General features: G+C 57.3%; 1 protein-coding gene and 2 non-coding genes across 9 annotated transcripts in view, besides 7 other annotated features; 1 reads left to right on the plus strand and 2 right to left on the minus strand.

Moving 5' to 3' along the window:
- PKD1 (polycystin 1, transient receptor potential channel interacting) overlaps nt 1-12,238 on the minus strand; it is a 47,191-nt gene extending 34,953 nt beyond the window's left edge. For 4 of the 7 annotated variants that reach the window (XM_047434209.1, NM_000296.4, NM_001009944.3 and 1 more), the window contains exon 1: nt 11,815-12,238. In XM_047434209.1, the coding sequence (XP_047290165.1) occupies nt 11,815-12,029 (215 nt within the window). In that variant the 5' untranslated portion in view covers nt 12,030-12,238. Of the gene's footprint in view, nt 1-126; nt 532-11,367; nt 11,592-11,814 lie in introns of those variants that run through there. The other 3 variants (XM_011522529.3, XM_011522528.4, XM_047434211.1) reach the window with 2 other exon arrangements.
- Nucleotides 212-1,053: an enhancer, noted in NCBI's record as "H3K27ac-H3K4me1 hESC enhancer chr16:2173873-2174714 (GRCh37/hg19 assembly coordinates)". NCBI's record gives its function as "activates a minimal SCP1, AML or CMV promoter by ChIP-STARR-seq in primed H9 embryonic stem cells {active_cell/tissue: H9 hESC(primed)}" and the evidence as "EXISTENCE:reporter gene assay evidence [ECO:0000049][PMID:30033119]".
- Nucleotides 1,896-2,737: an enhancer, noted in NCBI's record as "H3K27ac-H3K4me1 hESC enhancer chr16:2175557-2176398 (GRCh37/hg19 assembly coordinates)". NCBI's record gives its function as "activates a minimal SCP1, AML or CMV promoter by ChIP-STARR-seq in primed H9 embryonic stem cells {active_cell/tissue: H9 hESC(primed)}" and the evidence as "EXISTENCE:reporter gene assay evidence [ECO:0000049][PMID:30033119]".
- Nucleotides 4,922-5,031: an enhancer, noted in NCBI's record as "active region_10254". NCBI's record gives its function as "activates an Ori minimal core promoter by ATAC-STARR-seq in GM12878 lymphoblastoid cells {active_cell/tissue: GM12878}" and the evidence as "EXISTENCE:reporter gene assay evidence [ECO:0000049][PMID:35858748]".
- On the plus strand, nt 9,459-9,544 carry MIR4516 (microRNA 4516). The gene has a single exon (NR_039741.1). It is a non-coding gene; the product is annotated as a microRNA 4516 (primary transcript).
- Nucleotides 9,621-10,389: an enhancer, noted in NCBI's record as "H3K27ac-H3K4me1 hESC enhancer chr16:2183282-2184050 (GRCh37/hg19 assembly coordinates)". NCBI's record gives its function as "activates a minimal SCP1, AML or CMV promoter by ChIP-STARR-seq in naive H9 embryonic stem cells {active_cell/tissue: H9 hESC(naive)}" and the evidence as "EXISTENCE:reporter gene assay evidence [ECO:0000049][PMID:30033119]".
- Nucleotides 12,167-12,336: a silencer, noted in NCBI's record as "silent region_7025". NCBI's record gives its function as "represses an Ori minimal core promoter by ATAC-STARR-seq in GM12878 lymphoblastoid cells {active_cell/tissue: GM12878}" and the evidence as "EXISTENCE:reporter gene assay evidence [ECO:0000049][PMID:35858748]".
- Nucleotides 12,317-12,469, minus strand: MIR3180-5 (microRNA 3180-5). Its single transcript, NR_037467.1, has one exon. It is a non-coding gene; the product is annotated as a microRNA 3180-5 (primary transcript).
- Nucleotides 12,347-12,606: a silencer, noted in NCBI's record as "silent region_7026". NCBI's record gives its function as "represses an Ori minimal core promoter by ATAC-STARR-seq in GM12878 lymphoblastoid cells {active_cell/tissue: GM12878}" and the evidence as "EXISTENCE:reporter gene assay evidence [ECO:0000049][PMID:35858748]".
- Nucleotides 19,461-20,212: an enhancer, noted in NCBI's record as "H3K4me1 hESC enhancer chr16:2193122-2193873 (GRCh37/hg19 assembly coordinates)". NCBI's record gives its function as "activates a minimal SCP1, AML or CMV promoter by ChIP-STARR-seq in primed H9 embryonic stem cells {active_cell/tissue: H9 hESC(primed)}" and the evidence as "EXISTENCE:reporter gene assay evidence [ECO:0000049][PMID:30033119]".

Genomic DNA, 22,362 nt, shown 5'->3' on the forward strand with positions numbered 1-22,362 from the left:
GGACACAGCAGGGCCCAGGCATCTGGCAGCAGGACCACCGAGCGGCCCTAAGCCCAGGCAAGAGCACAGAGCAGAGTGCAGGGTCCTCTGGGGTCCCAGGCCCTTGCTGCCCCACGCACTCCTCACCCCAGTTCCTGCTATGAGCTGGAAGGGTGGGAGCCAGGTGCACAGGGACAGCCTGATGGGTGCCCGAGGGCCAGGATGTGCTCCCAGGGAAGCTGAAGCCAAGCTTGTCGGGAGGAGTACACCCCCATGGGGGGCAGGACGGTGCCCCAGCCCCGGGACACAAGGGGTCCCCAGCGCCGAGCGTCCGATCTGGAAGGCGGGAGGAGTTAGGACCATCCTAGCGTGGGACCCAGCGGGCTCCTTAGCGGCTGCTGGGGCACCACTGGGTGGAGAAGGAAGTCCCAGGTGTGTGGCCACAGTACGGGTCTTCACCCCTTCCCAGCACCCTTGCCAATCCTGGAGCAGGAGCAGCAACAGCAGAGGGTGTGGCCAGGCCTGGAGGCTGCCCCTCCACACCCGTCACAGGTGGGGCCACGTCCCAGGGCTGTGGGCAGCAGGGCCAGCCTGCCGGCCCGAGGTAGCTGACACGTGTCTCATGCTGCAGCGGGTCTGCCCGCCACCCGGGCGTGTGAACCCCAGGTCGGGCCCCCTCGCCCTGGAGCCTCGGCCCCTCAGGGGTGTTCCCAGCCAGGCGCTGGCTCTCCTGCCCTCCCCCTGGGCTCTGCCCACAGTTGGCGCGAGGGTGGGTGAAGCCTGAGGCTGGCAGGGCCGGGAAGTCTTGGGGCTGGGCCTTCTGCCCCACAGGCGCTCCTGGGCCGGGGGAGCCGGGGTCGGGGAATGCAACAGTGGGACTGAGGAGAACTTCCCTGGGTGTGGGGCAGCTCCCGGGGCCCTCCCAATCCACAGCAGAGGGAATGGCCCCAGACAAACCAGACCTGCCTCAGAGTCTCACACTCAGAGCTGAGTGCCCCAGGCGCCCACTCCCCAGACCAGATGCTGAGTGGGGTCTGGGGGCCGGACGGAGCCCCCAAAGAAACATCTGCACATTCCAGACACGTGTGGTCAGCAGCGGGTGTGCGCCAGGCCCGGCACCCCCGCCCGCGCTGGCCGCCTCACTGGAAACTGGGCTGGGGGGACCGGCTCGGAGGGGCCGCCTGCGGAGCTTATGTAACCGCTCCTCCCTCGGCAGGGGCAGGACAGGACGCCAGACCCAGGGAGGCCCCATGCCCCCTGCCAGGCCCCGTCCTCTCCTGGAGGAGCTGGTTCCCCTCCGCCCAGCAAGAGGACCCCCAGGCCCGTCCCTCCCGAGAGCAGGCCCAGGGTGAGGAAATGGGCTGCAGTGTGGGCGCTGGAGAGGACAGGGGACAGGCGGCAGTGCCACCCCCACTGCGGCCCCTTCCTCGCTGGGCCAGCCGAGCCATGACCTCATCTGTTTCCCTCTGCGCTGTGCTCCTTTCTATTTAAGGAGAGTGAGGCGGCTTCCAGGGCCGGAAATGATCCTGTTTAAATTAACGGGCTGCAGTTTGGGACGGTGCTCATTTGAAAAAAAACAGTGCAGCCCCGGGCTGGGCAGATGGCTGCTGGCTCCGCCTACCACTTCCATGGGGAGGGCCAGGGAGGCCGGCCACAACCCTGGCCCCACGAGGGGTGGGGGTGGCAGCCTCTGATACAGGACGAGGCTGCCAGGCCCCAAGCAACAGAGCCCTGCACGAGGGTCTCTGGGTCCCAGACACGGGGTGTGAGACTAGCTGGGGAGCCCCAGGCTCAGCGGCATTCTGTCCTTACAGATCCCTCCCACGGCTGAACTGTCCCCAGGATGAGATGCCGGGGGTGACATGGGCAGCCTCAGGTCCTCCCGGGACCCACAGGCAGGCACAGGGATGGAGACTCCGGCCTCGGAGGCTGAACGAGGGAGATGAGAAAGGGGAGTCTGCGATGTCCTTGCCTACACAGATGGAAAAACACAGCCAGCTCAAAAAGGGCCGTCTGGAGACGAGCCCACCTGTGGGGTGTAGGAAGGAGAGCGCTTCATACGTATGCTACCTGCCGCTGGGGTCGGGGCCACCCTTCCAGTTCAAGGGGAGAATGAGGGCCGGCTCCTGGTGCCCCTGCACGCAGCTGACATGGAGCCAGGCGTTGTGACCCCCTTGCATCCCTCTCCACTCCCACCCTTCACAGCCTGTGTGGGCAGGTGCTGCACTGACCTTACGCTCCTGATGGGCACACTGAGGCTCAAGGGGCCCTCCTCCTCCCCCAACACCATCCCCCAAACACCTCCCCGGGCAGCCAGCAGGGTCCAGTGTGTCAATGGAGGAAGCCAAGGTAGGAAGAGGATGGTGGGGGGGGGGGCAAGCAAACTGGCCATCTGCGCCCGGCTGTGCGGGCACAGCAGTGCCCTGGAGAGGGCAGCAGCACAGATCCAGCGGGGCAGCCGGAATCCCATCACCCACTCGGCTGTGGGCACAGCCAATGATGGTACGAGCCATCCTGAGGCCAGGGCCACGATGCACAGTGGACGGGCTCAGAACCCGGAGCCCCTGTACTCCCACAGCTGTGACGTTCCCTGGGCATGGGCTTGCCCCAGCGCTGGCCTCATTCCTGCCTCAACCAGAAGGAAGAGCTGGCTTCCGCCTCTGCCTGGGCACAAAGCCCTTTCTGAGGTGGCCTCACAGAAGCCAGCCTGTCTTCAGATCATGGCGCTGCTAAGGTCAGGAATGCCAGGCTGGGCCAGGGCTGGGCCTCGGGAGCTGCAGGGAGAAAAGGACCCAGCCCGCCTCAGCCCCAGATGTAGCCCTTCTCCTGCCACCAGTGCCTGGGCACCCTGGCCCCTAGGCAAGGACAGCTGCCAAGCCATGAAGAGCGAGGTGTTCTGGGAAAGGGCGTGAGCTGCATTTTCCAGCTGCGCTCACTCTGCAGGGAGACTGTGGCGCCCCCGCTGCTGTGCCCGCAGACGTGCCCGGCCTCAGCCAGCTGGAGCGCAGGCAGCAGAGTGCAGGCCAGGCCCAGACAGCAGCGGGATGTTTTCATTCCAGGGTGCTTGGCGGGCTGGGCTGCCGTGGCCACTGCAGAGCTCCAGAAAAGAACATGTGTGTCTCCCTCCAAAGTATATTCCTTGCTGGAAAGCAGATCCCAGGCAGGGTCTCCCCCACGAGCAGGGGGAGAGGCACCCCAAGGTGGGGGAGCGAGGGCAGTGGCAGAACCACCCCATACCCTAGGGGACCCAGGGAGGGGCTTGCAGATGCGGGACCCACATTTGGCAGCGGTGCCCGGCCACTGTCACCAGATGGTGGCCAGCGCATCACCCACTCATGGGCCAGGATGGCAGAGGAGATCCACAGAGACGGCTCCAGCAGGAGGCCCTCATAGAGATGCCCTGGCCTCAGAAGAGCCAACAGAAAGCCGGGAAGGGGGACGTCGAGGCTCAGGCTTGGCACAACCTCCCCAAAGCTCCCAAAGACTCTCGGTGCCCACCAGCGACAGCGCACACCGCCACCACCTAACAGCAAGAATGCAGCGGGGTCCGCACATCAGGGCGGGCACTGAGCGGAACTCAGGCAGTGCCACTCGCCAGCTTACGTCAAAAGAACAAAAGGAGTGAGGACGGTACTCGCGGCTCTGCCAACACTTCCCAGCCCCGCACGTCTCACACACACCAGAACGCGTCAAAAGGCACCAATGGGCAAACACCCAGATGTAGGCACAAGCAGGAGTGGGCCGGGTCTTGTGAGCCCCCACAGCCACGCGGCCCTGCGCTGAAGGCACCGAGGCTGGGTGCTGAGGGGTCCATAGGAGTCCACCCGCCCAGGCTGCACTGGCTCCCGTCGTCCAGTGTCTGGTCTAAGCACAGGCACAGTGTCTGGCTCTCACCCTCAGGCTGTTACACTCTGCTCTGTGGCAGGGCAGGTCTCACAGTGCATGGAGGACAGGGGAATGGGCCCCCGGAACCCCTGAGGGAACCGACAGAGCTACTTTAACAAGGTATGATTGTTGGGGCTGCCAGTGGCTGAGCCAGGTCACTGCTACACTGCCCTGCAGGGTGCATCTAATCATGGAGCCCACTTTACAGGTGAGGAAACTGAGGCTGAGAGACTGGACCAAGGTCACACCAGAGGTGGAGGCGCTGGGACGTGAACCCAGGTCTGACTCCAGGGCGCAAATTCCCTACATCTGGGTTCCCAGCCTCCTTCCTGAAACTGAACAGGAAACTAGAGAGAAGGGACACAGCAGGGATGAGCCAGGGAGGGAGAGGTGGGAGGGGCTGGCAGGGAGGGAGAGGTGGGAGGGGCTGGCAGGGAGGGAGAGGTGGGAGGGGCTGGCAGGGAGGGAGAGGTGGGAGGGGCTGGCAGGGAGGGAGAGGTGGGAGGGGCTGGCAGGGAGGGAGAGGTGGGAGGGGCTGGCAGGGAGGGAGAGGTGGGAGGGGCTGGAGGGAGGGAGAGGTGGGAGGGGCTGGCAGGGAGGGAGAGGTGGGAGGGGCTGGCAGGGAGGGAGAGGTGGGAGGGGCTGGCAGGGAGGGAGAGGTGGGAGGGGCTGGCAGGGAGGGAGAGGTGGGAGGGGCTGGCAGGGAGGGAGAGGTGGGAGGGGCTGGCAGGGAGGGAGAGGTGGGAGGGGCTGGCAGGGAGGGAGAGGTGGGAGGGGCTGGCAGGGAGGGAGAGGTGGGAGGGGCTGGCAGGGAGGGAGAGGTGGGAGGGGCTGGCAGCACCCAAGCAGCTGCACCTGGGCGCAGGGCCCCTCAGCCCCTCGGGGAGTGCAAGCACATCGCAGCCCGACTCGGAAGCGCCACTGCCACCTCTGTCTGTCTATAAACCAGGGCACTAGTGTGGGCCCCAGGCACCCTGTGCGGCTGCAGGGGTCTGCCCCAGAGCATGCTGATGAAATCATCACCACGGCTTCTCAAAGAGCCTCAATTTCCTGGTGTGTAAAATGAGACCAGGAGTGGCTGCAACCCTGCGGTGCCGTGATGAGGTATGGAGAGACAAGAACACAGAGGGCTCAGCGCGGAGCCCGGCGTGGCCACCGCGGGGAGAGGGTGCGGACTCTTCCTAGACCTTTTCTTTTTGAGACAGAGTTTCACTCTGTCTCCCAGGCTGGAGTGCAATGGTGCAATCTTGCCTCACTGCGACCTCTGCCTCCCAGGTTCAAGCGATTCTCCTGCCTCAGCCCCCAAAGTAGCTGAGACTACAGGCATGCGCCACCACGCTCAGCATTTTTTTTTTTTGAGACAGAGTCTCGCTCTGTTGACCAGGCTAGAGTGCAGTGGTGTGATATTGGCTCACTGCAACCTCCGCCTCCCGGGTTCAAGTGATTCTCCTGCCTCAGCCTCCTAATTAGCTGGGATTACAGGCGCCCACGACCACACCTCGCTAATTTTTGTATTTTTAGTAGAACGGGGTTTCACCATGTTGGTCAGGCTGGTCACAAACTCCTGACCTTGTGATCCCCCCACCTTGGCCTCCCAAAGTGCTGAGATTACAGGCGTGAACCACCGCGCCCACCCTGTTTTTTTTTTTTTTTTTTAAAGACCGTTTCCTAGTCGCCCAGGCTGGAGTGCAGTGGCACCATCACAGCTAACTGCAGTCTCAACCTCATAGACTCAGGGAATCCTCCCCCCTCAGCCTCCCAACTAGCTGGGACTACAGGCGCCACCACTAATATCTATTTATTGGTCTCGCTATGTTGCCCAGGCTGGCCTCAAACTCCTGGCCTCAAGCCATCTGCTCTCCTAAAGTGCTGGGATTACAGGCGTGAGGCACCGCGCCCGGCTGGACAGTGGTTTTGATTTACGTTTCCCTCATGACTAATGAGGCCGACCATCTTCTCACACGCTGTTGGCCATCTGTGCGTCTTCTTTGGAGAAATCTCTGTTCAGATCCTGTGATTTTTTTTTTTTTTTTTTTTTTTTTTTGAGACAGGGTCTTGCTCTGTGACCCAGCCTGGAGTGCAGTGGTGTGATCACAGCTCACTGCAGCCTTGACCTCCTCGGCTCAAGTGATGTCCCACCTCAGTCTCCTGAATAGCTGGGACCACAGATGCATACCACCACGCCCGGCCAATGTTCTTTTATTTTTTAGAGACCGGGGTCTCACCCTGTTGCCCAGGCTGGTGTCAAACTCCTGGGCTCAAGCGATCCACCCACCCTGGCCTCCCAAACTGCTGGGATTCCAGGCGTGAGTGACCCCTTGTCCATGTTTAAACGGGGTCCCTGTCTGTTGTTGAATCATAGTGTTCCCTGTATGATCTGGATGCAAGCCGATACTGCATGGATGACCTGCAGGTGCTCTCTGTCTCCACAGTCGCCTCTGCAGTGGGAGCTCGGGTGCCCCACATTCCCAACTGCTGCAGACACAACCAAAGCCTCCCCATCCCTTCCCCCACCCCTGCCGGCAATCGCGTACAGGAGTGAGCGTGTGACTTCTTGTCCACATTTTTGTCCACAAGTTTGGCGAGTTTGCATCCGCGTCTAATAAAGAAACTACCGTTTCTCACGCAGGCACGTTCTGAACGCCCGAGTGCGGGAGCCACGTAAGACCCGGCTCAGGGACCCCGGGTGAGGCCAGCTGGACATGCAGGATGCAGGTCCTCACCACTGCCTCCGCTCGGCTGCCAGGGCTCTTCCTAGAAGACACAGGCCTCTCCTAGGCTCTCCTGACAGAGGCCCTACCCCTGCCCCCGAGTCACCTTGCCCCTTGGGGACTCTCTCTGGGCAGCTCCCTGTGGGAGCTTTGAAACCTGGCTTCAATGTCACCTGCACTGGGGGTCCTTCCAGGCCAGCCCCCTCCCCATCATCCATCTCTGTCCTTGGAGAATCATCTGCGTGTTGGTTGAACGCGGGCTCCAGTGATAACGGAGCCCTCGAGGGTGGCCCTCCTTCTGCTGAGGGCTCATGGAGGCCTTGGTGACAATCCCTAGTCCTCGCTCTCAGGATCCAGGGACCAGAAATGGGAGCCAGGGGCCCCTCCGTGGCCTGGCCAGCCCCCCAAGGAAGCTGTGTCTCTGGCAGTTGCGCTCTAAGGCATCAGGCCTAGGGGTCGCTCCAGAATGCCTGTCTTCCCCGACGCCAATCCCAGGCAGGGGCCCCGGGGTCTGCGCCTGCTGTCCCTACACTCTCCCACACTCTCCTGTCATTCAGGGATGCAGGTGGGAAAGGGCAAGGCCCCGGGTGCTCCTATATTTTACATCAGTGAACCAAGCACCTACCAAGTCCCTCGATGTGCCCAGTCCTGGACCCCAGCATTTGCGAGACAGCAGCAGACCCAGGTGACCCCCAGCCAGGGTGAGTGGCAACCAGCACCAGAAGTGGCCTTTAGAGCAGGGGGCCCTGAGCTGATGACATCTACACCTAGGCCAGTGCCAGCCAGGACAACCTCTGGGACAATGGGATGTCGGCTCCAACGACCAATTTACAAGAAACACAAAGCACACACTCACAGCACCACGGAGGTGACACCATGGAGGTGGCACCCCCAAGACACAGCGAGAAATCCAGGCTGCAGGAGCCAGTTTCTTCAACAAATTGCACAAGGAAAAAGAGAGGAAGGGAAGCTCCTAGACATCATCGGACATTTAAAAGACAGGCGGTGGCTCAAGCCTGTAATCCCAGCACTTTGGGAGGCTGAGGCGGGAGGATCACGAGGTCAGGAGATCCAGACCATCCTGGCTAACACGGTGAAACCCCGTCTCTACTAAAAATACAAAAAATTAGCTGGGCATGGTGGCGGGCACCAGTCCAGGCTACTCAGGAGGCTGAGGCAGGAGAATGGCGTGAACCCAGGAGGCGGAGCTTGCAGTGAGCTGAGATGGCACTGCTGCACTCCAGCCTGGGCAACAGAGTGAGACTCCATCTCAAATAATAAAAATAAATAAATAAATAAATAAATAAAATACATCACTCACACCTGTAATCCCAGCACTTTGGGAGGCCGAGGCAAGCAGATCACCTAAGGCCAAGAGTTCAAGACCAGCCTGACCAACATGGTGAAACCCCATCTCTACTAAAAATATTTTTAAAAATTAGCCGGGCGTGGTGGCGCGCGCCTCTAATCCCAGCTACTCAGGAGGCTGAGGCAGGAGAATCGCTTGAACCCGGGAGATGGAGGCTGCAGTGAGCCGAGATCACACCATTGTCCTCCAGCCTGGGTGACAGAGCCAGACTCCGTCTCAAACAAAACAAAACAAAAGACATCAGCTAGCTGGTCCAAGCACAGTGGTGTTCACAACGAATTGATCACAGCCAGGTAGAATTCTTCATTCTTTCTCCAGTCCTACTGCTTTGCTTGACCAGCCTTAAAGACACACATATATTTTTGTCTGGGCGCGTTGGCTCACACCTGTAATCCCAACACTTTGGGAGGCCAAGGCAGGCGGATCACCTGAGGTCAGGAGTTTGAGACCAGCCTGACCAACGTGGAGAAACCCCGTCTCTCCTAAAAATACAAAATTAGCCAGGCATGGTGGCACATGCCTGTAATCCCAGCTACTGGAGAGGCTGAGGCAGGAGAATCACTTGAACCCGGGAGGCGGAGGTTGCCGTGAGGTGAGATCGCGCCACTGCACTCCAGCCTGGGCAACAAGAGCGAAACTCCGTCTCAAAAAAAAAAAAAAAGTATATATTTTTAAAAGACATTGGCCGGGTGCGGTGGCTCACGCCTGTAATCCCAGCACTTTGGGAGGCCGAGGTGGGCAGATCACGAGGTCAGGAGATCGAGACCATCCTGGCCAACACAGTAAAACCCCGTCTCTACTAAAAATACAAAAATTAGCTGGGCACGGTGGTGCATGCCTGTAAACCCAGCTACCAGGTACTCGGGAGGCTGAGGCAGGAGAATCGCTTGAACCAGGGAGTCGGAGGTTGCGGTGAGCTGAGATCATGCCACTGCACTGCGGCCTGGAGACAAGAGCAAGACTCCGTCTCAAAAAAAAAAAAAAAAAGAAAAAAAAAAAGACATCAACTAATTGCAGTGTGTGGACCTTATTTGGCTCTTAATTCAAACTATTAAACCAAAAATGTGAACACACCAGGCCTTCGGTGGCATGAAGGAACTGTCTGTTGTGTTAGGTGGGTCTGCAGTATTGCGATGCCCTCCAAAATGCTTGCAGATAAAAGGGTGGCTGGAATTTGGTTCAAAACATGGGTCAGGGCTGGGCGTGGTGGCTCATGCCTGTAATCCCAGCACTTTGGGAGGCCGAGGCGGGCGGATCATCTGAGGTCAGGAGTTCAAGACCAGCCTGACCAATATGGAGAAACCCTGTCTCTACTAAAAATACAAAATTAGCCAGGCATGGTGGTGCACGCCTGTAATCCCAGCTACTCGGGAGGCTGAGGCAGGAAAAAGCGCTTGAACCCAGGAGGCGGAGGTTGCCATGAGCCGAGATCGTGCCATTGCACTCCAGCCTTGGCAACAAGAGTGAACTCTGTCTCAAAAAAAAAAAAAAAAAAAAAAAACACATGGGTCAGGAGGGAGAAGGGTCGGGGCAGGGAGGGCAGGGCAGGCTCTGGGGTGGGGGGTCTGTGAGTCAGCCACGGCTCTGCCCACGTCTCCCCACGAAGCTTCGAGCCACGCAGAGCAGCACGTTTTGCAGTACGCCATCTTTTCCAAAAGCCACCACCTCTCGGCAGCATCATTAACCCAAGGCAGGCTGTGGCCTCAGAAGCCCCGGCTGTCCTCCACCTGGAACTGGACACAGCTGTCCCTGCTGAGCTTCAGCAGCCAGGGAGCCACAAGTGGAGAGGCACCTGCGTGAGCCCCCCAGGAAGGCTACTGGTGACACCCAGACAGCAACGCTCTTGGACCCTTGAACACCTGCCAGCAGCTGTGATCTGTGTCCTTCACCTCTCCCAGCTTGACCCCTCTTCCCTGGGGAAAACCCAGCCGTCTCCCCGAGGAGGAGTTTGCAGGGTAGACAGCAAAATGGCTGGGCTGCCCCACAGCACAGAGGGTGGCCTGGGGGGCCAGCCAGGGCCTTCACATCCTTCCTAAGGCCCTAGTTTGCCATGGGTCCCCTCACCCCACCTTCCAGAACTCTCCCAGCGGCGGCCCCAGGTGTGTACAGAACAGCACCCACCTGCCCACATGAGGTCACCCTGTGCCCTGTTGCACACTTGGGGGGCCTGGCATTCGGAATCTTGCCAGCTCAGGCTGGGACAGGCCACCAACTCCCAGGGTCCCCCTCCTCCAAACCCCAGGACCAGAGCCTAAGAGGACAACACAAGGCAGGGGCGGGGGCTCCACTGCTGTGCCAAGGGCCTGGAGAACACGGGCCTTGCTCTCCGCTCAGCAGCCACCAGCGCCCTTCTCTCCCGGACAGCTCCTGAGGGGCTGCTCTCATGGACACCATCAGGTGCTGGGAAGCAGGAACCACCAGGCCCTGGACAGAGTCCCCAGTGACCGGCCTGGCAGACAGAGGAGCCCTCAGCTACAGCATCACAAACAACGGGTGGGGTAGGTCTGATGCAATTCTGTGGGTGCTGTTGCCAGGCAGGAGGAGGCCATCTCCACAGAGACAGCCGCGAGACACACGCGTCCGCAGTCAGGGAGCGCAGGAGCAATGTGGCCCCGAGGGGCACGGGCTCCATTGGTCCAGGAGAACCCATTCTTCTCCCACCCTCGAGACCACCCAGCAAAGCCCCAAGGACACACGGCTCCCCTAAGGAAGGGTGGCCACAGGCGGGAGTGACCCAGAAACGTTACAAAACCAAATGCCAGAACCCACCCAATGTTTAGCAAGCCTGGGGATGTGCCACGTCCCCCAGGGATCCAGCACGCACCCAAGGAGACACTGTCCCGGCGAGGAGCCTGGAGCCTGGGAAATACAAGGCATCAGACTGGTCCCAAGACTCTCCCCAGCGCTGGGGACAACTGTCTGCTTATCTTAGTCCCCTCCGCCCTTTTCAATCCAACCCTGGGTCCTGGGCACCTCATAGTTCCAAACCCCTGCTATGCACATCCCGGCTGTGATGCCTGGGACAGGTCGTGTCACCTCTCCAAACCTGTTTCCTCATCTGTGAAATGCAAATCTCCACGGTCCCTATGCCTCGGATGGTCAGAGTCAGGATTCCGCATGACGACCCCCAACAGGAGCCTGGCACAGACCTGGCTCTGGGCAGCGTCTCCATAAAGGCCACCTGTTGTTTTTATCTCCCGAAAGCGAACATGACAAGGCTTTAACCCCCCACGGCAATCCCCCCTCACCCCTGTTCTCAGGATAGCCTTGGAACCCAATAGCAGAGCGCCTGAGGCCCTTCATGACCCCAGCCCACCCGCGAGCCCACCTCCCACCCTGCCCCTACCCCTCACACCTCCCGTGGCCAGCCTCCAGCCTCACGGTCTTTGCTCACACCGTTCACCCCCCTTCTTCTGGACCCACCTCATCGCCCCTTCCTAAGCATCAGCCCAATTCTTGCACATCCATCAAATCCTTTTCCAGACACCTCCTGGAACTCTTCCCTGCCGCCCCCTACAGCCATCCCCACCTCTCCGGGTACCCCGCAGCCCCAGGCCGCATCCCAATTCCTCTCCAATTAGCGACTGTTTGTCCTCCCAGCTGAGCGCGGCCTCCGCGCCCCGCCCCCGCTGGCGTCTGCAGAGCCCCCGGGTGGGACGTCTGTCTCCAGACCCGGGGTTTTTCGGCTCCCCGGGGCCGTGCCAACCGCGGCTCCAGGCGTTCCTTATTTAGCAGGGCCGCCGTGCCGCGCCGGAGCCTCGCCCTGGGAGCGTCCTGGCCCGCGTCCTGCTTCCCGTCCCGGGCCAGGGAACGCGCCCACGCCCGCCCGTCCCGCGGCCTCTCCCGGGTGCCGCTGGGCCCGCTACTCACAGCGCTGTGGCGTCCGCGGGGATGCGCAGCGCGGGACCGAGCGTCCGCAGCCCGCGGCCCGAGCAGTTGACGCGGCAGGCGGCGCCGGGCGCTGGGCCGCAGAGGCAGGGGGGCTCGCAGGGCCCGCAGCCGCGCCCGGGGCCCCCCGCCAGCGCCCCGAGCCACAGGCCCAGGCCCAGGGCCAGCGCCAGGCGGGCGGGCGCGGCGGGCGGCATCGTTAGGGCAGCGCGCGCATGGCCCCGCCGTCCCCAGGCCCGCCCGCGCGCGGAGGCCGCAGCTCAGGCGGGGCCCGCGGACGGCATGGCGGGCGCGGGGCTGGATGGGGCTGCGGCCGCGACCTGCTGCTGAGCGACGCCCGCTCGGGGCTCGGGGCCAGGCCGCTCCGGGAGCTCGGCCGCCCGCTCGGACGCTGGCGCTGCAGTGCGGGCCCCGCCGCGGCTCCTCCTCCTCCTCCCCGCGCGGCGCGGGGCGGACGGGGCGAGGGGGGGCGGGGCGGGTGCAGGCTCCGCCCCCTTCGCCACAGCGCGACCGGGCCAGCGATGAGGGACTGGCATCCGGAGGCTTCACCCTCCGCTCCACAGGGTCGGCAGCAGGGCGGGGCCTCCGGAAGCTCCGCCCCACGCGTTCCCGGGGCGCATGCGACGTGGGGCGGAGCGTCTGGAAGCTCCGCCCGTCGCACTGCAGAGTCGGCCGAGGCGCACGAGCTATTTTTCACGCTCCGCCCCGCTGCAGGCTAAAGTGCGTGGGCGGGAAGCGGTGGGCAGGGTGCCATCTGGCTCCGCCCTTCTCCTGTGGTGTGGGCCAGGCGGCGGGTTCCTCCTCCTGCAGCAGCCACAGGCTCCACCCTGATCCTTCTTCCGCGGTGTGGATCCTTCTCCCGCAATCTCCGTGCGCGGCCCGAGTCAGTACCCGCAGCCTCCCGACGCACCCGCTGGCTCCAAGCCTCCCTACCCCAGGTTTCCTGGCTGAGAGAGAGACAGAGGGAGAGAGGGGGAAGAGAGAGAACAGGCAATGGGAGGTTGATGGTGAGAGCTTATTGAAAGACAAGAGGGAGGAAACCCACATCCTTCATTCCCCATCCATTCATTTATTGCCTTATTTATTCCATTGAATCTTCACAGCTCTAGAAAAAGTGTGCTACAATTATTCCCTTTATTAAATGAGGTCACTGAGGCACAGACAGTTTAAGAAATTTGCCAGCAGGGCACAGTGGCTCACTCCGGTAATCCCAGAACTTTGAGAGGGGGAGGAAGGTGGATCCCTTGAGTCCAGGAGTTGGAGACCAGCCTGGCCAACATGGCGAGACCCCGTTTCTACAAAAATTAGCCAAAATTAGCCAAACTGGCTCACGCTTGTAGTCCCAGGTACTCGAGAGGCTGAGGCCGGAGGAGCGTGTGAGCCCAGTAGGCAGTGGCTGCGCTGAGCCGTGATTGTGCCACTGCACTCCCGCCTGGGCAAAAGAGTAAGATCCTGTCTCGAAAAAAAAAAAAATGGAAAAAAGAAAAAAAGAACTGGCTGGGAGTGGTGGCTCATGCCTGTAATCCCAGCACTTTGGGAGGCCGAGGCGGGCAGATCACAAGATCAGAAGTTCGAGACCAGCCTAGCCAACATGGTGAAACCTCATCTCTACTAAAAATACAAAAATCAGCTGGGCATGGTGGCAGGCACCTATAATCCCAGCTACTAGGGAGCCTGAGGCAATAGAATCGCTTGAACCTGGGAGGCAGAGGTTGTGCCACTGCACTCCAGCCTGGGCAACAGAGCAAGACTCCGTCTCAAAAAAAAAAAAAGAAATTTACCAGGTCACACAGCAGGTGGATGGTAAGGCTGCGATTGTATTCCAAACCCAGCTTTTAATTGCAGTCAAATGACAGACTTAAGATTCAAGGACTCCAGTGGAGGGAAGAAACAGCCACAAGAAACTGCTGCCAAATGAGCAAAACAGATTAACCAAGTCTCAATGATTGTTTGAAGGCGGTTGTGGAATAAAATGCAATTGTTTAGAAAGGATTTCTTAAATAGAAAAGACATATGTTTAAAGAAGCAAATTAGTTACCTGGAAATGAAATTCTAAACTATTTGAAAAACCATGGGGGCCGGGCGTGGTGGCTCATGCCTGTAATCCCAGCACTTTGGGAGGCCAAGGTGGGCAGATCACAAGGTCAGGAGTTCGAGACCAGCCTGACCAACATGGTGAAACCCCGTCTCTACTAAAAATACAAAAATTAGCTGGGGGTGGTGCCACGCGCCTGTAATCCCAGCTACTCAGGAGGCTGAGACAGGAGAATCGCTTGAACCCAGGAGGTGGAGGTTGCAGTGAGCTGAGATTGTGCCATGGCACTCCAGCCTGGGCAACAAGAGTGAGACTCCATCTCAAAAAACAAAGAAACAAAAAAACAAAATCCATGTGGTGAGACAGAGCAAATAAAATGTGCCAGAGATCTTGTTTGGTTCAGGGAAGAAGACGTGAGGGAAATGTTTCTTGATAAAATACAGACCTGAGGGTTTTTATTAACAGTGAATAATTGTTAGCCTAAAAGGGGGAAACTAGAAGAGGAGAAAAGAAACAAGAAAGCCAGGCCAGGCACAGTGGCTCACACCTGTAATCCCAGCACTTTGGGAGGCCAAGGCAGGCGGGTCACATGAGGCCAAGAGTTCGAGACCAACCTGGCCAACGTGGCAAAACCCCGTCTCTACTAAAAATACAAAAATTAGCCAGGCATGGTGGTGGGTGCCTGTAATCCCAGCTACTCGGGAGGCTGAGGCAGGAGAATCACTGGAACCCGGGAGGCGGAGGTCGCAGTGACCTGAGGTTACCCCACTGCACTCCAGCCTGGGTGACAGAGTGAGACTCCATCTCAAAAAGAAAAAAAAAGGCCAGGCACAGTGGCTCATGCCTGTAATCCCAGCACTTTGGGAGGCGGAGGCAGGTGGATCACGAGGTCAAGAGATTGAGCCATCCTGGCCAGTATGGTGAAACCCCGTGTCTACTAAAAATACAAAAATTGGCTGGGCATGGTGGCACACAGTTGTGGTCTCAGCTATTCGGGAAGCTGAGGCAGGAGAATCGCATGAACCCAGGAGGTAGAGGTTGCAGTGAGCCGAGATCCCGCCACTTCACTCCAGCCTGGGTGACAGAGTGAGACTCTGTCTCAAAAAAAAAAAAAAAAAAAAAAAAGACAGGAAACTGCAAACAAAGTAAGTGTGCCAGTATTGATACCAGAAAAATAAACCTAAGGCAAAAGGTGTTAAATGGGAAAAGAGTCTGTTTATCTACACATAACAGGTATGGTCTATGTAGAATATATTATGAACTGTTGTGTTCTCAAAAATAGAACATTGGCCAGGTGCGGTGACTCACGCCTGTAATCCCAGCATTTTGGGAGGCTGAGGTGGGCGGATCACCTGAGGTCGGGAGTTTGAGACCAGCCTGACCAATATGGAGAAACCCCATCTCTACTAAAAATACAAAATTAGCGGGGTGTGGTGGCGGCGCCTGTAATCCTAGCTACTCGGAAGGCTGAGGCAGGAGAATCTCTTGAACCCAAGAGGTGGAAGTTGCAGTGAGCCAAGATCACACCATTGCACTCCAGCCTGGGCAACAAGAGCAAGACTGTGTCTCAAAAAAAAACACAAAACACACACACACACACACAAAAACAAAATAGAACATCAACCCACGAAGCTAAACTGTGAAATACAAAGATTTTGAAAAACAAAGACATTGCAGGAGGGTTTATTACACCTTCCCTCGAAGAAGGATCAAGTAGACCCAGGAGGTTGACGCTGCAGTGAGCCATGATCACACCACTGCACTCCAGCCTGGGGAACAGGGTGAGATGCTGTCTCAAAAAGTTTACAGATCAATTTTTGTCTGGACACAGTGGTTCATGCCTGTAATCCCAGAACTTTGGGAGGCCAAGGAAGGAGGATCACTGAGGCCAGCCTGGACAACACAGAGAGACCCCATTTCTTTTTTTTTGTTTGTTGTTTTTTCTTTTTTTGAGACGGAGTCTCGCTCTGCCACCCAGGCTGGAGTGCAGTGGCGCGATTTCGGCTCACTGCAAGCTCCGCCTCCCGGGCGCACGCCGTTCTCCTGCCTCGCCTCCCGAGTAGATGGGACTACAGGCGCCCGCCACCACGCCCGGAGAATTTTTTGTATTTTTAGTAGAGACAGAGTTTCACCGTGTTAGCCAGGATGGTCTCGATCTCCTGACCTCGTGATCCACCCGCCTTGGCCTCCCAAAGTGCTGGGATTACAGGTGTGAGCCACCGCGCCCAGCCAAGAGACCCCATTTCTACAAAAAATACAAACAAAAAATTAGCCAGGCATAGCGGAGCTCGCCTGTGGTCCCAGTTATTTGGGAGGATGAGGTGGGAGGCTCACTTGAGCCCAGAAGGTCAAGGCTGCAGTAAGCCATGATGGCACCACTGCACTCCAGCCTACATGACAGAGTGAGATCCTGTCTAAAAAAAAAAAGAAAGAGAGAGAGACAATTTTTTTTTTCTTTTGAAACAGAATCTCGCTCTGTTGCCCAGGATGTTGGAGTGCAGTGGCACGATCTCAGCTCACCACAACATCTGCCTCCCAGGTTCAAGTGATTCTCGTGCCTCAGCCTCCTGAGTAGCTGAGATTACAGGCGTGCACCACCACACCTGGCTAATTTTTGTAATTTTAGTAGAGACAGGGTTTCACCATGCTGGCCAGGTTGGTCTCTAACTCCTGGCTTCAAGTGATCCACCTGCCTCGGCCTTCCAAAGTGCTGGGATTACAAGCGTGAGCCACCGTACCCGGCCAAAGAGACAATTTTTTTATGTCAGTAAAGATATAGAGACTTTGAGTAGCACAGTTAATAAGCTGTATTGTACACAAAACAGGGCGTGTTAACTATTTTGGCATTACAGATGTTAGGCAAGGTCAGAGGAAAAGCTTAGATAAGAACGTGGCCTTTGGCCGGACGCGGTGGCTCACGCCTGTAATCCCAGTACTTTGGGAGGCCGAGGTGAGTGGATCACCAGGTCAGGGGATGGAGACCATCCTGGCCAACGTGGTGAAACCCTGTCTCTACTAAAAATACAAAAATTAGCTGGGTGTGGCGGTGTGTGCCTGTAATCCCAGCTACTCGGGAGGCTGAGGCAGGAGAATAGCTTGAACCCAGGAGGTGGAGGTTGCAGTGAGCCGAGATCGCGCCACTGCGCTCCAGTCTGGTGACAAAGGTAGACTCCATCTCAAAAAAAAAAAGAAAAGAAAAGAAAAGAAAAAAAAGAACGTGGCCTTAAACACCACCGCCCCCTAGAGGCTCTCTTGGGTACTTTCACTTGCTCACTGCATCAAATCTTGAAACCAGATCAAAACTGAAGCTCCCACAAGCACAGCCTAATTCAGGGACTCCCACCTGAGTAGAGAGGCCGGAAGAACCATCCGCAGAGGGTCACAGGACAGCTGGACACCCTGACAGCCCAGATCACTGAAAGGTAAAGATGGAAATCATGGACTGGGTGCGGTGGCTCACGCCTGTAATCCCAGCACTACAGGAGGCCGAGGTGGGTGGATCACTTGAGGTCAGGAGTTCAAGACCAGCCTGGCCAACATCGCAAAACCCCATCTCTACCAAAAATACAAAAATTAGCTGGGTGTGGGGATGCAGGCCTGTATTCCCAGCTACTTGGGAGGCTGAGGCAGGAGAATCGCTTGAACCCGGGATGGGGAGGTTGCAGTGTGCTGAGATCGTGCCACTGCACTCCAACCTGGGCAACAGAGTGAGACCGTGTCTCAAAAAATAAATAAATAAAAAGTAGAGCATATAGAAATGAATAGGCTGGGTGGGGTGGCTCATGACTGTAATCCTAGCACTTTGGGAGGCCAAGCCAGGCGGATCACCAGAGGTCAGGAGTTCAAGACCAACCTGGCCAACATGGTGAGACCCTGTCTCTACTAAAAATACAAAAATTAGCAGAGCGTGGGGGCACATGCCTGTAATCCCAGCTTCTAGGGAGGCTGAGGCAGGAGAATTACTTGAACCCTGGAAGTGGAGGTTGCAGTGAGCTGAGATCATGCCACTGCACTCCAGCCTGGGTGACAGAGCGAGACTCTGTCTCAAAAAAGAAGGAAAAAAAAAAAAAGGAAATGAATAGTAATGAGCAAACATCATAGAAAATCTATGGGGATGCAGTCAAAGTTATACATGGAGAGAAACGGATAACTTCACTTGTTTTTATTAGTTAGCATGAAGAATCAAACCAATATATAAATTAAGTATTTATTTCAACATTCTAGAAAAACACCTGTAAAATAAACCCCCCAAAAAAGATGGAAGGAAATTAGAAAGTAAAGAGCAGAAATTAGTTACTTTAAAAGAAAGAGTAGGCTGGGCCTCAAAAAAAAAAAAAAAAAGAAAGAGTAGAATTGATGAATAAAATCGAGCTATTTAATAGATATAGTTGCTAAGATTTTTCTAGGAAAAACTTCTGGTAAGTGTGACTGAGAGAAAAGGAGAGAGAAAAAGAAAATATGGGACATTCAGATGAAGAATGAAGGTTTATTCACAGAGATGAAAAAAGTTAAAAATTATAAAAGAAAATTATGTGCAATTGTTTGCCTACATTTTTGAAATCTATATGGGATGCTTATATGTTACAAACTGTAAAAACCAATTCTAGAAAAAATTAAAACCCCAAATAGACCAATAACAAAAGAACACATTGAAAACGTATCAAAAGCCATGTCAGGAAAAGACACTTAATCCAGATCTTTTTGTGGACAAGTTCTATCAAATGTGGAAGAATCAGATAATTGTGATTTAATTTAGACTCTTACAAAACAAGGCTGGGCGCGGTGGCTGACGCCTGTAATCCCAACATCTTGGGAGGCTAAGGCGGGAGGATCCCTTGAGCCCAGGAGTTCAAGACCAGCCTGGACAATAGTGAGTCCCCCATCTCTATAAAAAAAACTAAAAAATTGCTGGGAGACTGAAGTGGGAAGATTGCTTGAACCCAAGAGTTCAAGGCTACAGTGAGTCGGAACCGCACCACTGCACTTCAGTCTGGGTAACAGAGTGAGACCCTATCTCAAAAAAAAAAAAAAAAAAAAAAGGGCAGGGTGCGGTGGCTCACGCCTGTAATCCCAGCACTTTGGGAAGCCGAGGCAGGTGAATCACGAGGTCAGAAGATCCAGACCATCCTGGCTAACACGGTGAAACCCTGTCTCAACTAAAATACAAAAACAAAAATTAGCCGGGTGTGGTGCCGGGCACCTGTAGTCCCAGCTACTCGGGAGGCTGAGGCAGGAGAATGGTGTGAACCCGGGAGGTGGAACTTGCAGTGAGCCGAGATCGCACCATTGTACTCCAGCCTGGGCGAGAGCCAGACTCCGTCTCAAAAAAAAAAAAAAAAAAAAAAAACAATTAGCCAGGCGTGGTGGTGGGCACCTGTAATCCCAGCACTTTGGGAGGCCGAGGCGGGTGGATCACCTGAGGTTAGGAGTTCAAGACCAGCCTGGCCAACATGGTGAAACCCTGTCTCTACTAAAATACAAAAATTAGCCGGGCGTGGTGGTGGACACTTGTAATCCCAGCTACTCGGAAGGCTGAGGCAGGAGAATTGCCTGAACCTGGGAGGCAGAGGTTGTAGTGAGCCGAGATCGAGATGGCGCCATTGCACTCCAGCCTGAGTGACACAGCAAGACTCCATCTCAAAAAAAAAAAGAGAGAAACGTTGCAAGGAAAGCACTTGGTGCAGTCCGGGGTAGTCAGTGATTGTTACGGTTACGCAGGGGTCTGTTTTGTTCATCGACAGGGATCCCTGCACCTGCCGTGAGGCCATGTGTGTCACTCTGAGGCTGCCGGGAGAGCCTGCAGCCAGGAGCCCTGATGCTGCCTCCTCCAATGGCTAAGCGGACACCCTCACTCAGCTCAGGCGCAGGAAGCCAGCACTGCTGAGAGCAGGCAACTGGCTCCGTAGGAGTGAGGATACTGCTCTGACAGCCACAGAGGCGCACATGACTCCCCCGTTAGCTCATCTTCTGTGTGGCAGATCACCTCTGCTGCCTTCCCGTCTGGGAGCACCTGAGTCACTGTGGTCACGTCTGCAGGCAACAGACAAAGGGTCCCCATTCGGGCAGGGATGGACACCTGTTTGTCCCGACCCACCCGGTAGGGCCTCAGGGCCACCATGGTGAGCAGGCTGAAGGGGGGTGACCTCTCAGGAGGACACCAGACTGCTGCACACCTGGACACCGGAGAGAGCTTACCTGTGATGTCACCCACGTGCTGGGGTGACTCAGTGCTCCTCTCTCGGGTGGAAGTTGCGTTCAGTGCTGCCGCAGTTCCTCCAACGTCTCCATGGCAACGTTCACACGGATTTCATAGAACATAAGGTGTTTGAGCTGGAAGGGACCTCAGAGATCGGCTCCTCCTGCCCCCTCATTTCATGGAGAGGGGAGCAGGCCCAGACAGGGAATGCCACGTGCCCAGGGGCACATAGCAAGCCGGGGACCCCGCGGAGGGCACAGACCGCTGAGCTCCAGAGGAGGGTCTTGGGAGGTGCCCTGGGGGCACAGGCCGTGGCGGCTTTGCCACTCCCTGGCTTGCTAAGAGCCCCTTGAAGTCCAACCCAGCTCTCTGCTGCTCAGCCACAGAGCTCTCGCTCGAGTGCCTGGCGGGAACAGGAGTAGGCAGGACAGGGCCCTGTCCTCAGGAGGCTCCCAGGCTGCTACAGCGGCCATGCAGCCGCTGGGGAAGGGCTGGAGAGCATCCAGGGAGCCAGAAGTGGGGCAGGAGGAGCCAGGGCAGGCTCCCTTGAGGGTGGGGCTCCAGGCAGAGTCTGGAAGCCTGAGGAGGCCTCACTCGTGCCTGCGCCCCCTCTCCTGGCACACAAGGGCCAGCCCGAGGGCCCCACTCTGGGGGCAGAGTGTAGGGAAGAGGCTGGAAAATGGGGGCCAGAAAGAGACTGTCCTGATCCATGGCTCCCAGGGGTCGTTTTGGCTGGGGGCTCACAGCACACATCCTTCCAGACACCCAGGACGGTCAGAAGGAACTGGCAGGAGTTAGAGGGCACGGTGTAAGGATGCCAGGGGGCCGGGCCGTCAGAAGGTAACAGGAGCGAAAGTCCCAGAGCAAGGCCCCAAGGAGACCCAGGGCGCTCTCTCCGCTCGAGGACAGGAACCCGTGGAGACCTTCCCCTCCCTGGAAGAGCCAGCTCTGCACCAGAAGGGTGGGGGGCTGTAGCACCCCTCCCAGGGGAACACGGACCTCACTCTCCGCCCCCAGCTCCCAGGGCCCATCTCAAACTCGGACCCTGTCTCAGGGACCTGCCCTGGCCCACAGGACTCCTCTCTTCTCCAGGTCTGAAGATGCCAAGAATCCGGACATCCCAAGGCCTCCCTGCTGAACTTTCCCACCATGCCGGCCCCCGCCTTGCCCTCGCCGGCCCCCGCCTTGCCCTCGCCGGCCCCCGCCTTGCCCTCGCTGGCTGCCTGTTCTAGTTTTTCTAGTTTTATTTGTTGTTGTTGTTGTTGTTTTTTGAGATGGAGTCTTGTTCCGTCGCCCAGGCTGGAGTGTGGTGGTGCGATCTCCGCTCACTGCAAGTTCCACCTCCCGGGTTCACGCCATTCTGCTGCCGCAGCCTCCCGAGTAGCTGGGACTACAGGCGCCCGCCACCACACCCGGCTAATTTTTTGTATTTTTAGTAGAGACAGGGTTTCACTGTGTTAGCCAGGATGGTCTTGATCTCCTGACCTCGTGGTCTGCCTGCCTCGGCCTCCCAAAGTGCTGCTGGGATTACAGGCGTGAGCCACCGCGCCCGGCCTTTTTTTTTTTTTTTTTTGTGGAGACCAAGTTTCGCTCTTGTCGCCCAGGCTGGAGTACGATGGCGCGATCTCGGCTCACCACAACCTCCGCCTCCTGGGTTCAAGCGATTCTCCTGCCTCAGCCTCCTGAGTAGCTGGGACTACAGGCGCCCGCCACCACACCTGGCTAATTTTGTATTTTTAGTAGAGACGGGGTTTCTCCATGTTGGCCAGGCTGGTCTCGAACTCCCGATCTCAGGTGATCCGCCCGCCCCGGCCTCCCAAAGTGCTGGGGTTTAATCCATCTTTAACCCACTGCAGCATCCCACTGGTCTCTGCCCATGGGCATGGACTCTGACCCTCCCCTCCCTGCCTCCAGGCCTACAGCTTCTTTCCTGAAGGTCCTCTCTGTTCCTATTATCCCTCCCCTGGGTGACTGCAACCCCCATCAATCTCATCTCCAGGCCTACAGGCTCCACCATCCATCCCCTCCTGCCAGTCCCCAATATTCCTGTAGCACAGCGTCCTCTGTTGTTCTGCTCAAAAGCCACGCACAGCTCTCTACTTCCCGCTGTACAATTTCCAAGCTCCTAGGAATAACACTCAGGTTTCCCTTCCCAGCTGACCCCATCCTACCTTACCAGCTTGATTACCTCCCGTTTCCTCCAAGGAACTGGGCCACACTTTGGCCACCTCGGCACAAAGTGCCCATCTCCTAGCACTCTCAGCCTATGCATATTGACTCCCTCCACCTGGGGACTGTC

This window comes from Homo sapiens, chromosome 16 (assembly GCF_000001405.40).
Source record: "Homo sapiens chromosome 16, GRCh38.p14 Primary Assembly".
Lineage (NCBI taxonomy): Eukaryota > Metazoa > Chordata > Mammalia > Primates > Hominidae > Homo > Homo sapiens.